At 45.5% G+C, this 17,219-nt stretch overlaps 1 long non-coding RNA gene and 1 further gene across 1 annotated transcript; one reads left to right on the plus strand and one right to left on the minus strand.

Annotated features, from left to right (window-relative positions):
• IGL (immunoglobulin lambda locus) overlaps positions 1-17,219 on the plus strand; it is an 896,838-nt gene that overhangs the window by 230,291 nt on the left and 649,328 nt on the right.
• Positions 7,278-15,296, minus strand: LOC124905087 (uncharacterized). Its single transcript, XR_007068018.1, has 2 exons — positions 15,012-15,296; positions 7,278-14,130 (listed from the first exon to the last, which is right to left on the minus strand). It is a non-coding gene; the product is annotated as an uncharacterized LOC124905087 (long non-coding RNA).

A 17,219-nucleotide genomic window follows, 5' to 3' on the forward strand; every position in this document is an offset into this window, starting at 1 on the left:
CCTGCATTACCTGATAACGCAGTTAGATCAGACGTGATGCTGCCTGCCGAGGAGACCTGGAGGCTTCCCATGAATGGGCTTTCGGATGAGAGGTCTCTGGGTGCATTTGGTGACACCCCAGGCAGTGGGGGAGACGTCCAGGCTGGAAGGCCAGCCACAGCCAGCTCTGCCCAAGGATGCCACGTCCATTTGCTTCAGTAGGATATGCACCCTGGAAACCCAGGTTCCTGCCTCTCCAGGAAACCCCACTGAGGTCAGCACATCCCCCAAGGTTTAGAAGGGGTCTCTGGGTGCATTTGGTGACACCCCAGGCAGTGGGGGGGACATCCAGGCTGGAAGGCCAGCCACAGCCAGCTCTGCCCATGGATGCCACGTCCAGTTGCTTCAGTAGGATCTGCATCCTGTAAACCCTGGTTCCTGCCTCTCCAGGACACCCCATTAAGGTAAGCACACTCCCCAGGTTTAGAAGGGGTCTCTCGGTGAAATGTGGTGACACCCCAGGCAGAAGGGGGGACGCCACAGCCAGCTCTGCCCACGGATGTCACGTCCATTTGCTTCAGTAGGATCTGCACCTTGGAAACCCAGGTTCCTGCCTCTCCAGGACACCCCACTGACGTTAACACACCCTCCAGGTTTACAAGCGGTCTCTGGGTACATTTGGTGACACCGCAGGCAGAGGGGGGACGCCACAGCCAGCTCTGCCCGCGGATGCCACGTCCATTTGCTTCAGTAGGATCTGCACCCTGTAAACCCTGGTTCCTCCCTCTCTAGGACACCCCACTGAGGTCAGCACCCCCCACCCCCCACCCCCAGGTTTGTCCAGCTTCGCTGTCTGGGGAGAGACACAGAAAGACCACATTCGGTGGAATTCTGGCTATAACCTTTTGTAGCCGGCAAGAAGGATCACCAAGCTGTCCCGTTACCTTGCTGGAGCGATCACTGGTTTCACGCTTGGCCCCCGTGCAGTTAGTGCCTGGGCCAGGCTCGATTCCTGGAGCTCCGGTGAAATTTGGGCTTGGAGCTCACGCCTGCACCATCCAGAAAGCAGAAGGCAGCCGGCCCGGGCTGTACGGTTCGTAGAATCAGAGAGAACACTGCTTGCCTTCATGTCTGTACCACAATAAATCTGCCAACTGCGGTCAAAGTCTCTGGATTCCTGCCCCCTCATTTTATTTTGTCTATTACGGAGTGGAAGGAGTGAGAAAGATTTTGCTTCCTATTTTGTTTTGCAAAGCGCTTCTAAGAAAAACAACCCGTGTTCTGAAAACGAGATTCTGAGTGTCCCCTGGGCGCGATGAAAATAAACTTTGGGAATCCAAGGGCCTGAGAGGCAGAGTGAATGTCATTTGCATTTCCCTGCGAATGACAAAGTCACTTTTTATTTATTATTATTATTATAGATTCAGGGGATCCACGGGCAGCTTTGTGACCTGGGGATATTGTATGATGCTGAGGTTTGGGGTATGAATCATCCCGTCACCCAGGCACTGAGCATTGTACATTCCTGAGGTATATAATGTGTACTAAAAATAAAATGTATATTTATATATGCACTAATGATTCAACTTGATTCCTCGTAATTAAGAAAAACAAACCCCAAATTCTAGAGGAGTTCTAGAAATATATAAGAAGAGGGCCAGGCGCAGTGGCTCATGCCTGTAATCCTAACACTTTGGGAGGCCGAGGCAGACAGATCACCTGAGGTCAGGAGTTCGAGACCAGCCTGGCCAACATGGTGAAACCCCGTCTCTGCTAAAAATACAAAAATTAGCCAGGCGTGGTGGCAAGTGCCTGTAGTCCCAGCTACTTGGGAGGCTGAGGTAGAAGAATTGCTTGAATCCAGGAGGCAGAAGTTGCAGGGAGCCGAGACTGCACCACCGCACTCCAGCCTGGGTCACAGAGCGAGACTCCATCTCAAAAAAAAAAAAAAAAAAAAAAAAAAAAAAAAAAAGAGAGCGAGAGAGAAAACAAACAAGCAAGAAAATGCAACAGAAAAATCCGTGACCCAAAGCTCTCTCCAGTTGCTGCCTTCTGCCGGAAATTCAAAGAACCTCAGGGTAGTTTTTCAACCCTTGTACCCCCGCCCCTGCTTCCTGCTCTATTAGTCCTGAGGGTCTGTGGTGCCCCTTCATTGTGTCCAGGTGCAGGCAATGTTTAGCTCCCACCTATAAGCGAGAACATGTGGTATTTGATTTTCTGTTCCTGGCATTAATTCACTAAGCATAGTGCCCTTTGGCTTCATCCATGTTGATGCAAAGGGCATGATTTTATTCTTGTTCATGGCTCTGTAGTATTCCATGATGCGGAAGGACCACATTTGCTTTATCTAATTGAGAACATGTGGTATTTGATTTTCTGTTTCTGGCATTAATTCTCTAAACATAATGCCCTTCGGCTTCATCCATGTTGATGCAAAGGGCGTGATTTTATTCTTGTTCATGGCTGTGTAGTATTCCATGATGTGGAAGGACCACATTTGCTTTATCTAGTGGAGAACATGCAGTATTTGATTTTCTGTTCCTTGTATTGATTCACTAAGCATAATGCCCTCTGGCTGCATCCATGTGGCTGCAAAGACATGATTTTATTTTTTTCATCACTGTGTAGTATTCCGTGGTGTAGGAGGGCCACATTTGCTTTATCCAGTTGAGAACATGTAGTATTTCATTTTCTGTTCCTGGCATTAATTCACTACGCATAATGTCCTTCAGCTGCATCCATGTGGCTGCAAAGGACATGATATTATTCTTTTTCATGGCTGTGTAGTATTCCATGATGCAGAAAGACCACATTTGCTTTATCTAGTGGAGAACATGTGGTATTCGATTTTCTTTTCCTGGCGTTAATTCACTAAGCATAATTCCCTTCAGCTGTGTCCATGTGGCTGCAAAGATGTGATTTTATTCTTTTTCATGGCTGTGCAGTATTCCATGGCATAGAAGGGCCACAATTGCTTTATCCAGTCAAGAACATGTGGTATTTGATTTTCTGTTCTTGTGTTAATTCATTAAGCATAATGCCCTCCAGCTACATCCATGTGGCTGCAAAGGACATGATTTTATTCTTTTTCATGGCTGTGTAGTATTCGATGCTGTAGAAGAACCACTTTTGCTTTATCCGGTACCCCACTGATGGGCAACTAGGTTGATTCCATGACTTTCCTATTGTAAGTCGTGCTGTGATGAACCTTACAGGGCTGGGCACTGTAATCCCAGCACTCTGGAGGGCCGAGGTGGGCAGATCACCTGAGGTCAGGAGTTCGAGACCAGCCTGGTCAACATGGTGAAACCCCATCTCTACTAAAAATACAAAAATTAGCCAGGCATGGTGGCGCATGCCTGTAATCCCAGCTGCTCAGGAGGCTGAGGCAGGAGAATCACTTGAACCAGGAGGCGGAGGTTGCAGTGAGCCGAGATTGCGACTGCACTCCAGCATGGGCAATAGAGCGAGACTCCGTCTCAAAAAACAAAAACAAACAAAAAAAAAAAAAAAAAGGAAGTTTACCATGCATGTATCTTTTTGGTAGAATGACTTCTTTTCCTTTGGGTAGATGCCCAGTCTTGGAATTGCTGGCGCAAATGGTGGAGCAGTTTAGATTCAGGAGGTACATGTACAGGTTTCTTACATGGGTACGATGTGTGATGCTGAGGTCTGGGGTATGAGTGATCCCATCACCCAAGTAGTGAGCATAATACCCCACAGTTGGTTTTTTCAACTCTTGTCCTTCTACCTTCCTCTCTCCCCCTAACTAGACCCCAGTATCTCTTCCCTTCTCTGTGTCTACGTATACACAACATTTAGCTCCCACTTATAAGTGAGAACACGCAGCATTCTGTTAATTTACTTAAGATAATGGCCTCCACACTGTTCACAATAGCAAAGATGTGGAACCAACCCAAATGCTCATCAGTGATAGATTGGATAAAGAAAATGTAGCACATAGACACTGTGGAATACTATGCAGCCATGAAAAAGGATGAGTTCATGTCCTTTGCAGGGACATGGATGAAGCTGGAAACCCTCATGTTCAGCAAAGTGACACAGGAACAGAAAACCAAACACTGCATGTTCTCACTCATAAGTGGGAAGTGAACAATGAGAACACATCGACCCAGAGAGGGGAACATCACACACTGGGGCCTGTTGCAGGAGGGGGGGACTGGAGGAGGGACAGCATTATGAGAAATATCTAATGTAGATGATGGGTTGATAGGTGCAGCAAACCGCTATGGCACATGTATATCTATGTAACAACCCTGCATGTTCTGCACATATACCCCAGAACTTAAAGTAGAATAGAAAAAATAAAAAATAATAAAAATAATTTAAAAAGATAATGGCCTCCAGCTACATCCGTGTTGCTGAAAAAAAAAAAACACCAAAAACATGATTTTGTTCCTTTTCAGGGTTGTGTAGTATTCCATGGTGTAGATGTACGGCATTTTCTCGAGGGTGGAGGGTGGGAGGAGGGAGAAGATCAGCAAAAACAACCTGTGGCTGGGTGTGGCAGCTCACACCTGTATTCTCAGCACTTTGGGAGGCTGAGGTGGGTGGATCACCTGAGGTCAGGAGTTTGAGATCAGCCTGGCCAACATGGCAAAACTCTATCTCTACTAAAAGTACAAAAATTAGACAGGCACGGTGGTGCACGCCTGTAATCCTGGCTCCTCTGTAGGTTGAGGCAGGAAAATCTCTTGAACCCAAGAGGCGGACATTGCAGTGAGCCGAGATCATGCCACTGCCCTCCAGCCTGGGCCACAGAGTGGGACTCCATCTCAAAAAATAATCATAAAAATAATAATAATAACCTGCTAGGCTTAGGACCTAGGTTGATTCCATTACAAAAAAAGAAAAAAGAAAAAAGAAAAAACTAACTTTTTAAAAGAAGGATCTCCCTGTTCAAAAACAAAACCAATGCCCTGTCAGGAAAGATGTTCTGTGTTTCTGGTAAAGCTGGAAGGAACCTACAGGAAGGAGTCACCCCATAAAACTAGTGGAGCAGCATTGCCTTTTGGGGTGAGGGCTGCTTCTGTTAGGCCACCAGGATGAGTACCTTCCTGGGGAGTGTGGTTCATCCTATACCATCCAGGAAGCAATTCCTGCCCCCAAATCACCCGCCAGCTTCTGCCCTGTAAGTAAAATCCCCAGCAAGCGGGCAGCAAGGAGCTACTTGCCTTGGAAGGCAGCCGAAGTCTCTGTCCACCACCCAGACTGTGTCCTCTGGGCAAGGCCAGGGCTTCCAATTGGATGGTTTTCACATTAGCGGCTGCTGTTTAGAATCATCAACATTGGCCAGGCGCGGTGGCTCACGCCTGTCATCTCAGCACTTTGGGAAGCTGAGGCGGGCGGATCACAAGGTCAGGGACCAGCCTGGCCAACATGGTGAAACCCTGTCTCAACTAAAAAAAAAATACAAAAATTAGCTTGGTGTGGCTGGGCATGGTGGCTCATCCCTGTAATCCCAGCACTTTGGGAGGCCGAGGCGGGCGGATCATGAGGTCAGGAGATCAACACCATCCTGGCTAACACGGTGAAACCCCGTCTCTACTAAAAATACAAAAAATTAGCCAGGCACGGTGGCAGGCACCTGCAGTCCCAGCTACTCGTGAGGCTGAGGCAGGAGAATGGCGTGAACCTGAGAGGCAGGGTTTGCAGTGAGCCCAGATTGCACCACTGCACTCCAGCCTGGGTGATATAGAGTGAGACTCTGTCTCAAAAAAAATAAAAAAATAAAAAATTAGCCTGGTGTGGTGGTCGGCACCTGTAATCCCAGCTACTCAGGAGGCTGAGGCAGGAGAATTGCTTGGACCCCGGAGGCAGAGGTTGCAGTGAGCCGAGATCGCGCCATTGCACTCCAGCCTAGACAACAGAGCAAGACTCTGTTGCAAAAAAAAAAAAAAAAAAAAAAAAAAAAGAATCATCAACATTGCCTTGGCCCAATCTCTTGTCAAATATTTACCACTGGACCTCCATGTTCTAGTTTCAAAGCTCTGCTGGCCACAGTGGCTCATGTCTGTAATCCCAGCACTTTGGGAGGCTGAGGTAGGAGGACTGCTTGAACCCAGGAGCATGAATCCATCCTAGGCAACATAGTGATAATAGTGTCAAATCAGAGCCAGTGTCTGGTAATTCCCCAAATATCTGAGAATTTTCTTTTCTTTAAGTCATAGTCATCCTGGCAGAAGGCTGTAGGTCCCTTTGGGGAAGACTGGGAAAAAGATAAACAATGTAAATTTTTGGCAATGTAGCAGCGTACTTCCCCAAGATCACCCAGCCTCCCCTTCACTTAAGGGGTTGTGGGCCTGTGAACTGGCTCAAGTCTGGGAATTGATTGAGGGTTTTAGATCTGTGTTTCATTAATTTGAGTTAGTCTTTTATTCAGTTGACCTAGAATTCTTCATTTTTTAAAGAACAACTAAGACTTTGGTACAGCCCATTAGCTCTCCCTGTGGATACCATGGATTACACAATGCCGTGGGTGTCTGTGAGTCAAACCATTCTGACTGCTGCTTTGACACTGCTTTCCACTGTGGTGACCACACCCACCTTATCTTCGGTGATTAAGGACAGCCCATGTTCCCTGCCACCCTAGGATTCAATTATCCTCATTTTACTTAAAGATCCCAGTCCAGTGGCTGCAGTTCCTGCTGTAACATTTTGCCTACTGAGAGCACAAGCTCAAAGCTCTTCCAGGATACTGGGCTCCTCTCACAATATTCTTTCTCATGATCGTCGTGAGGAGTATGTTCTGTAGACCCTCCAGTGTGAGTGAGCAGGTCTGACATAATAAATCCAGTCTCCGTGAGTTTTTGCATACCTTTCTGTACACATAAACCAAGGAAGTTGTGGCATCTCAACTTTATGTACCTTAGGTAAACTCTGATTCTGTTTCAGCCAACCAACCAAGTCACCAAACAAATAAGCAAACAGCCAACCAATCAACCAACAAGCAAGCAACAAACCAACCAAACAACCAAGCAAGGAAGCAAGCACCAAGCAAGCAAGCAACCAACCAACCAAGTAACCGATCAAACCAACCCTTGGAGCCCTTTCTAAAGCTTTGACTTACAACCCTGAGTCCAGAATCTCTGTTTAGTGGGCCAACATTAATAAATGTAGCCGAATCCAACTTTATGTTACTTCCACCATGGTGCCACTCACTTAATATCCATTCCCACGTATATTCTCCAGATTTCCTTCTGTATAAATTGCGTGTGTGTGTGTGCGGGTGTATGTGTGTAGAAAGAGAGCATCAACTGAAAAATCACAAAATTTTATAAATTTAGAAAAGAGAGCTTTATTTCTTATAAAGGTTTGCAGTCCGCAAGGTGGCCATTATGACAGGCTGGGAAGTGTGGCCTACAGCCAAGGCCAGAGGCAGGCATTTCCAGGGAGGGAAGGAGAGGACAGGAATTTGAGCCAAATGAGTTGGCTACATATACATACTCAATAGGATATCAGAGGAGCTACATCATTTTATGAGAATACTCATAAAAGAGGTCCTAACGCATGCATATTCAATAAACATGCATGTTCATTCTGGGGTGGAGACTTGACATTTAAATGTATTATAATTAGGCCCTACACATCAAAAAGTGAAGCAGGGACATAAAGGTACTCAGCCTCTGTAAAGGCTCAGCCTCTGTAAAGGCACAGCCTCTAAAACTGGCCAGAACCAGTCCATGGAGGATGGTCTCTTATCAGGAGAAAGTTACTGAAATCAGTCCCTTGTCCAGAGAAAGCTGTCGTTAAGGTTAGTGGGGCAGGAGATCAGTTACTCAGCGTCTGTGAACTGGGTGAGTTGTAATTGTTTTAATCTTGCTTCTCTCACAGCCAGTGCTTGCTTGGCTGCTAGAGAAAAATAAAACCCATGTGGTAGTTAGAATCTAGTTAATTCTTTAAGAGTAGGGTACAAGACTTAACCCTCGCCTGGCATGGCCCTAGGCCCTGTTTATAATTTGAGGTCTTATTGCCACAAAGAGTCTGTTCTGTCAGTCTCATGATCTCTATTTTAACATTAATGCTGCTCAGTTGTTGGGTCTAAACCATAAGAGGGAGGGAGGTACAGGGAGGTATGTCTGACCTCCTGTCCTGTCATGGCCGAGAACTGAATTTTAAGATTTATTTGAGGTTCCGTTGGCCAACAGGGGGTCTGTTAAGTCGGGTGGGGGGCTTAGGATTTTATTTTTTGTTCTCAAGGGAGATAAAATAATTTAATCCATTGGCCTCTGTGACTGTGGGACTAACATGGCTATGATCTGTCGGACAGACTTCAGGCTGGCACCCAGGCAAAATTCTATGCTGTAGTAAATGCATCATGCACATTTGTAACAACACGTACATAACAATGTCACAAAATACTTTCACGGTGACAACTAGATTAGTGTTTTATTGAATAGCTGATGACATAAACTGTCTCATTTGGTGCCAAGACTGACCATCACCAGCATACCAAGGTCATCACTGATCAGAGGTCTAACCCAAGGAGGGGGTCATGTGCAGGCCCAGCGGTGGGGAGGAAAGATGCTGCAGAGGAGATGGATGCCCACAGAGGCCCCTGAGCGGATACCATGCTCACTAAGTGGTAAGTATAGACTCAACGTAGGCTGTAAGCTCTCCCCCTGTGTAAATGGGACCCCGTACACTTGAGAGTCAAGGGTCTGTTTGGGTGGCAGGGATAGCCACTTCTGAAGGTAGAAAGGAAAATAAGCCACCAAATTGGTACCTTTCTGTGAAATGGACATCGTGCTCAGAATCTCCATTTTCCCCACAACCTGGAGGAGTAAGTACTGTCATCTGCATTTTGTAGCTGAGGAATCTGACTCAACAAAATTAAATTACTCGCCTAAGCAATTAGCAATCAACCAAGTCTTTCTGACTCAGAAACCCAGCTATTGCCTGTTCATATCCAGCCCCTGTATTGGGGTCAAGATCTGGCCTGTTCTCAATGCAGCAAGATCCAGGCAGATCACACTGGACTCCCAGCACTGAATCTGGCTCGAGGGGACATCAAATTTGACTGGGTCATGGGGCTCAGGAGCATCACTCTCAAAAATAGCAGTACAGGAAGAGGCAATGGCCCTAAACAGCATTTGCAGGCAGATCCCATGTTAATCGTAAGGGTCAGGACTCTCTCACTTTTCTGTCTCTCTCTCTGTCTCTCCTCTAGGGCTGACCCCACATCGGACACCACTGCATCCATGTCCATCACAACACAGCTGCCTTTTCTTCTGCCTGCTTATGGGAAAGTCCCCTCCTCTCCTCCGTTTCCTTCTCTTCCTGCCCTATCACACTGTGCACTTCTCCCTTTCCTTAAAGAACCACCATCAACTTTAGGAGGAGGGAAAGGGGTGGCTCTGGGAGGAAAAGCCAGAATCCCCTCTAGCCAGCAGAGAGAGAGGAATGGCTGCATGTTTTCTCCCCCAATCCAAGGCACTAGGTTTTGGCTAGGTTGCAGGTTCCAAGCTGCTCTCCTGCTGTGTCGGTGAGTTCTGGTTAACCTGCAACCTCCTGATGTGGCCACTGCAGTTCATCGAGTCTTCAGGGACTCCCCATGGCCTGGAGTACTTTGCCTTGCTTACACGGGAGAGGAGAATGGATTTATAGAGAACATCATCTAAATCCAACTTGACCATTGTGTGGCCACACTTGCTAGATTGCTATAGTCTAAATCTAGCATTGTAGAAAGACGGGGGAGCTTGGAGCTGCACAAACCCAGGTCTGGAACGGGCTCCTTACCTTGGAAGGTGAATGATCCTGGTAGGACTCTTAGCCTCCCTGGGCCTCAGTTTCTTTATCTGTTTCATGGGAATGAGGATCTCGGCTGGTTGGTTGGGTGATGCGGGGGCTGTGTGAAAACAGCTTGTCAATACAAGCTGAAATAGAAATATTTCTCCACAGAGTATGAAGATCAAATGAGAGAATACATTTAAATTAAATGGAAAATTAAAATGGCAAAAAAGGCAAAGCTGTATTGAAAGTTCCGAGCTTCTCTATAAGGAGCTTTTTGACTATGTAAGAATCCTGTACTCGTTCCCCCTAAATATAAAAAAAAAATGTTGAAGGAGGCAGAAGGGAGAGTGATGCACGATGGGCGAGGACTTCACCTGCTGTTGCTGGCTTTGAGGATGGAGGAAGGAGGCCACAAACCTAGAAGCTGGAGCCCCTAGAAGCTAGAAAAGGCAGGGACCCGATTCATCCCTTGAGCCTCCAGAAGGGACATAGCCCTGCCAGCACCTTGACTTTAGCCCAGTGAGATCCTCTTAGGACTTTTGGCAACCAGAACTATAAGACAGAAATGGAAGCCACTGAGTCTGTAGCTGTTTGTTGCAGCAGCAATAGAAAACTAATGCAGAGCCCAAGAAATCACTGGTGATGAGATGGGGAAGTGGGCTCAGGAGGTCTGGATCTGTGATGAGATGGGGAAAGTGGGCTCAGGAGGTCTGGATCTGTGATGAGATGGGGGAAGTGGGCTCAGGAGGTCTGGATCTGAGTTGGGGATCTGGAGTGGAAGGGGAATTCATTTGTTCATTGTCTATCCTTTTGCATTAATTGAATTTTTTTCTATACATACATGTGAATTTTCACAATAAAAGTTTTTTCCAAAATAAAATAAAAGAAACAAAAGGGGCTTTTTGCAACCCAATTCCTATCTATGTCTGAGTCCACTTGTATTGAATGAGTCTTTCTGCTAACGTCCTTATATTTGGGTGACTATCTGAATGTCAGTGACCAATCAGAGCAGAGGCAGACCTTGGAGTGGGCAGGGCATCCTGAGGGCCCTGATTCCTGCCATAAGGCATAACCCTTTAGGTGCCAGACCATGGGGAGGTCCAGGGGTTGCAGGGGAGGGCTGTGCATCTGCAATGGCTCTCAGGGGGCTCCCGGTGGTGGCAATTGGTGAATCTGCATGGTGGTGTTTCAATATTGTCACAACCCTGCTGTCTCTCATGCTCTCAAAAAGCATTTCTCTTACCTGTGACAGACTTCCTATACCTAACAGCTTGCAAAAATGTTCCAGATTAATGAGAATAATCTCTCGGAGCCATACCTCCCTGCTTGGGGTCTCAGTTTCCCCAAATGTCTCCAGACAAGTTAGGCTAGAAGGCCCCTGAGTCTCAGCCCCTCTATAGCCCTCCTGTCACCCAGACCTGATCTGGGTCTTGCACCCTGGGTGCAGCATGACAGGGGTGGGCAGGGGCTGGCTCTGGGCCAGAGGACCCTTTCTGATGGACTTCAGCTGTTGGCCTTCCAGGGGAGACTGATCAACCTCACAAGAGTCATATGGTGAGTAGCGGTGGGCAAATCCATCCCCCTCATCTTAGATTTATGGGGAGACAGAGACAAAGAGGAGACACTCCAGGAAGACCTGCAGGTGGGAGTACCAGGTTGAAACCAAGGACACCTTCCTGGAGGAGCTGCCGTTTGAGCCAGCTCTGAGAACAGGTGGAGACAGGACTGGAGAGGAGGAGGTTGTGCCCTATGAGCAAAGACTGGCCACCACCCCATCTAACACCCCCACAGGGCCCCTGTGGCATCCCTGTCCAGTCCCTGTCACCACCCAGTTTTTCCCTCTGGACCCAGGAATTCAAAGTAAGCAAGGAGGTCCGCTGCTCCAGTTGGCTGCAAATAATTACAACCTTGAGCCCAAGCAGCACTTTGGGTCCTGGTTTGGGACCATGAAGCGGCTCGGTGAGACTGAGAGGTAAGGCCAGGGCAGGAATTGGGATAGTAGGATTGAACTCTCCCTGGGGGCCAGCCTCAGAAAGCCTGTGGCCATGGCCTCTTGGCCAACATCAGATCCTGTGGTCTGGCAATGCCTGGGGTACCCAGACCTCACTCTGGACAGGCCCTGGGAGGGGGCCCTGGTGAGATTCCTGGCAGCCTCACAGCCACTCTTCTGTCCATAGCTACAACCTGTCATGCCAGCTGGAGGCTCCATCCCAGTTGGCTGGGAGCATAAAGTCCAGGAAGATAGACATCACCCACCACAGGGGCCAGTCAGGGCCTGAACCAGGGCGGGCAGAGGTTGGCTGCCTTGGGATATGGGTGGGCTCAGGGAGTCAGACAGCAAGGGACTAGCCTCCCATCCTACTGCTGAGCAGCCCTGTGACTGGGGAGAGTCACCTTACTTCTCTGGGCCTCAGTTTCCCCCTCTGTGGAGTGACACTAAATGATCTCTCTGGAGACGGGGATCAATAGGGTACTGGTGATTGACCAGGCACTCAGCACATGCCTGGAGCACACAGTGCAGGGCTGTGGTGGGGAGGTGGGCTGAGTTCCTAGGGAGTCACCCATGTGTGCCTGCCGTTCTGACCAGCCACCAGGCCCTCAGGGCAGAGCCCACTACCAGCAGCAGCTCACACCCCAAGACCAGCTCAGAGGCGGCCCCTACCTCAGCAGCAGGGACATCACAGACACTTTGAGCTGGCACTAGGGTGGCTTCTCCAGCTCCCACGGGGAGAGGGGTCCCAGCTGAGTCCCACTCACGTGGAGTCTCATGCCCATGAAAGTGCCATTCACCACTGGCCAGGCTCATGAGGCCGCATGAGAGGGGGGTCACTGGGGAGGAGATATCGGGGGAACAGAGAGGGTGGTTGAATTTTTGTATAATAGGCAGTGCAAGTGTTTACCGTTTGGCAGGGGAAAGGTTTGTTATTATTAGCAATGCTACACTTCAATATTACACTAAAATCCAGTTTCTCTATAACCTGGGAGTTGCTCTTTTGTTCTTTCTTTTCCCATCTTAATTAAAATGAGATGCAGACTCTCACGGTCCACAGTCGATTAAGAAATCTTGCACGGCCATCAGGTTATGTCTTGGAGAGCAGAGTTTCAGTACCATCAGCCTGGCAAGGAGCTGGGCCTGCTCCTCAGAGCTCCCGGGACTGCGAGAATTGGCATGTTCACAAGGCACCGTCACAGCCTCTGAAACACGCTGTCTTTAAAGATGTTTGCAGGCTGGACGCGGTGGCTCACTCCTGTAATCCCAGCACTTTGGGAGGCAGAAGCGGGTGGCTCACTTGAGGTCAGGAGTTCGAGACCAACATGGCAAAACCCCATCTCTACTAAAAATACAAAAAATTAGCCAGGTGTGGTGGCAGGTGCCTGTAATTCCAGCTACTCAGGAGGCTGAGGTAGGAGAACTGCTTGAACCCAGGAGGTGGAGGTTGCAATGAGCAGAGATCACACCACTGCACTCCAGTCTGGGCAACAAGAGCAAAACTTCATCTCAAAAAAAAAAAAAAAAAAAAAAAACACAAAACACAAAGACATTTGCAAGGACCATGTCCTCACCCAGAATGGTGCCTGCCTTTCTACAGTTTTTCAGGAAAAGGAAACATTTTCTGCTTCTCTCGCTGAGGTTTTTTTTAACCACCCATTAGGAACCTATAGATTTCAGGATCGAACACTGGGATTCCCTCAGCACTAAAGGAGGACAATTGCAAACAGAGCTGAAAGTGCAATGTGGAAAGGTCAGGCTGAGGAAGGTTCTTAGCCAGTAGACCAAGGGCAGGAAGGACACTGCCTCCTCAGTCTCCCACTAGGGAACTTGTGATTCTTGTCCCCTGACCTCAGAATTCCTTGTCATGTTTGTTTTGTCTCCAAGGGAAGGGTTTGAATTACAGAATTTAAGGCTAGAGTGGGCCTCGTGCAGTTAACATTAACCCTCTCTCTCCTTCGCTGGCCAAGGTGAAGTCCGGAAACATGTAGTTCTGACGTCCACTCTCTCGGGGGATCACCAGTTCACCCATCTCACCCGGCAAGCTGGGACCTAGTTTGGCGACAGGCATCTTCCACCCACCTGGGAGGCAGGGTTCAACACTCTGCCTCTGACCTTGTTTCCTTCTTCTGCCACCTGCTTAGGCAGCCAGAAGGGGTTGTCCAGCCAGCACCTGGGCTTTGGCGCTCCTCAAGCAGGTGGAGGAAGTTTCAGGCACCTGGCTCCTCAGGTGTCTGCCATCCAGGTGCTCTTCAGGCCTGCCCAGCAGAGCTCTCTTGATCCAGCTAGAACTGGCCAGAACTGACTCACTCAGGAATGTGTAGACTTTGGCATCAGGGGCTGCTTTAATTTGCACAATTTCCAAATACCTCTTTTTTCTTCTTTTTCTGATGAGTCATCTTCCTAGACTTTCATTTTAAAGAGATAGATAGTTATCAGGTTCCAGAGAAGACATGGTAGAACATTTATATCTCAAAGACACAGAGCTGAGACTTCAGTTTTAGATACTATAATTTGCCTAAACCAAAAAGGAAGGTGTAGGTAAAGTTCTAGTCAAGACAGGATGGCCAGGAAAAACACCTTAAACCAAGGGATGGCTTGCTTTGCTGATTTAAGCCAATGGCTTCTTTATCATAAGACTTCCCAGTGATTTAGTCCTCCCTCTCTTCCAGTGCACAGAGACATACCCCTCCTTACAAATAAAAATGTTCTTTATAGATGTAAATTTATTTTACAAAAATGTTTCAAAATAACCAGATGAAAATCATCCTTATGCCAGAAAGACTTGTTTTTTTTTTCATTACTAGAAATGAAACAGTAAGTATTTGTTGTATTGACATACTTAGGCTTAGACCTGTGTTTAACAAGAAAGCCTAATAATAGCACTGTGGTTAGACTGTAGCCTATTTTTCCAAACCATCATTTTATTATTAAGGAAACGAAGGACCAAATACCTTTCATTCATCTGATATGATCCTTTAAAACACATTCCACTAACAAGTCCCATTTGGAACAGCTGAAAATCTTTTAATAAAACTTTTTAAAGATGAGCTCATGGCTTAGTGTAAATTTCACAAGCTTAATTAGGTCAAATGGAAGGAACTCAGATGAGTAGTTGCCCAATCAGAGCCCATTATTTGTAAGTCATCAGACCCCTCCATGACCTTAAAACTCCACTCTGACCTGATTATTGCAAACCTATATACAAAAAAGTGAAAGGATTAATTTTCATTCATCAACCTCTCAATCCCAGATTTTCAAAGAAAAAACCTATGTAAGGAATACTTACCAAAACCAGACAGGAAAATTAGAGCCTGCATACTTTAGAGTCAAATTTGTTCCACTACAGCCAGGTCGCATACAATTACATCATTTGGTTCTTCATACACTCTAGAACTGACTAGGACAGAGTTTAGCATAGAAGAACTGTAAGAAATAGGTTCTGAAACATAGAAATTGCAAAGTTCAAAAGGCTATGAAAAAAACTAATGTAAATGAGAGACTCCCCTCACTTTGTTTTAAAGAAATAGACCCATCAGAGAAATGCAAATCAAAACCACAATGAGATACCATCTCACACCAGTTAGAATGGTGATCATTAAAAAGTCAGGAAACAACAGGTGCTAGAGAGGATGTGGAGAAATAGGAACACTTTTACACTGTTGGTGGGACTGTAAACTAGTTCAACCATTGTGGAAGACAGTGTGGCCATTCCTCAGGGATCTAGAACTAGAAATACCATTTGACCCAGCCATCCCACTACTGGGTATATACCCAAAGGATTATAAATCGTGCTGCTATAAAGACACATGCACACGTATGTTTATTGCGGCACTATTCACAATAGCAAAGACTTGGAACCAACCCAAATGTCCAACAATGATAGACTGGATGAAGAAAATGTGGCACATATACACCATAGAATACTATGCATCCATAAAAAATGATGAGTTCATGTCCTTTGTAGGGACACGGATGAAGTTGGAAACCATCATTCTCAGCAAACTATGGCAAGGACAAAAAAACAAACACCGCATGTTCTCACTCATAGGTGGGAATTGAACAATGAGAACACTTGGACACAGGAAAGGGAAAATCACACACCAGGGCCTGTTGTGGGGTGGGGGGAGGGGGGAGGGATAGCATTAGGAGATATGCCTAATATAAATGATGAGTTAATGGGTGCAGCACACCAACATGGCACATGTATACATATGCAACAAACCTGCACATTGTGCATGTGTACCCTAGAATTTAAAGTATAATAAAAAAAATAAAAAAATAAAAAAATAAATAGATGTTCTGTAAAAATATACACAATTTTTACAGACAAATACATTTATAAGTTGTTTTTATCTTAAAAATTGGGGATATTTCATATTTATAACTAATTATTGAACCTTAAGTTTTCTTGGCCATTTATAGGCTAATAAACTAAGAATCATGTAAACTAAGCCAAAGTAGAATAGACATAAAAGTCCTAACACTTCAACTTCCTATCCTTCAAGAAGTATACCTCGCAAAGCTCATTTGAGAGAGGAAAAGCTTTCCTCCACCCTCTGTTTTACAGCGCTGAGGTTTCTCATCACATTTCTATGACTTATAGCTTAAATCCATGTTACATGGTCACTGGCATTGTTAGTGCTTCTCTTTTAATACTGTAGGAATTAATCAATTTGGTGGCGTATTTAATTAATTCTATCACTAGAGGATTGTAAAATTACATATATGAATACCTCACTTTAGAGACCACTTAATTTTTTTTCCAAGGGGATATTTGACTATATTTCACTTGTGTCTTATTTAATGATTTTATAATTTAAACCCTAAATTATAAATCTAGAATTTAGAGAGTATATTTCCCCACTGGATTACATTTTTGGAATTATTATATGTGCACAAATATTACAAAATCACTGTAGACACCTGAAAACTATATTATCTTTTAAAAGCAATATTTACATTAAACTGGTATAACAAAATTGTTTGGTGCATTTTTTCCAGTACATTTTGTATATATTACATGTTTAACCTTTTTTTATTCAGCAAATAATTTTTGAGTATCTACTAAGTGCTAGGTTCTGCATTACTAATTGAATTTAAAGAGTGAAATAACAGACATGGTCTCAGACAATAAAAATTAACATTAGGTCACCTATTTACATATTTTAAAATGGTAATTATGAAAACTTTGAGATTTTAAACTAGATAACATTATAATAATACACTTGATGTTGTTAATATTTGCCAGTGAGCAAAAAAGAAAATAAAAAGATGGTTTTATTCAATATACACTTTAAAATTGCAGAAAATAGTCAAGTTTCTCTGCTTTGCAGTTTAATGTCTATGTGTTTTTCTCTGCAACTTGGCTTTTGTGGAGTGAAACAATTATTCTTCCAGCCCAATAAAGGCAGAAGAGTAACAATAAATCTAATATTTTAAATGCTTATCAAAAGATAGTAAACATATTATTTCAGAATACTGAGTTCAATAAGTT

Source organism: Homo sapiens, chromosome 22 (genome assembly GCF_000001405.40).
Source record: "Homo sapiens chromosome 22, GRCh38.p14 Primary Assembly".
NCBI classification, from domain to species: Eukaryota; Metazoa; Chordata; class Mammalia; order Primates; family Hominidae; genus Homo; species Homo sapiens.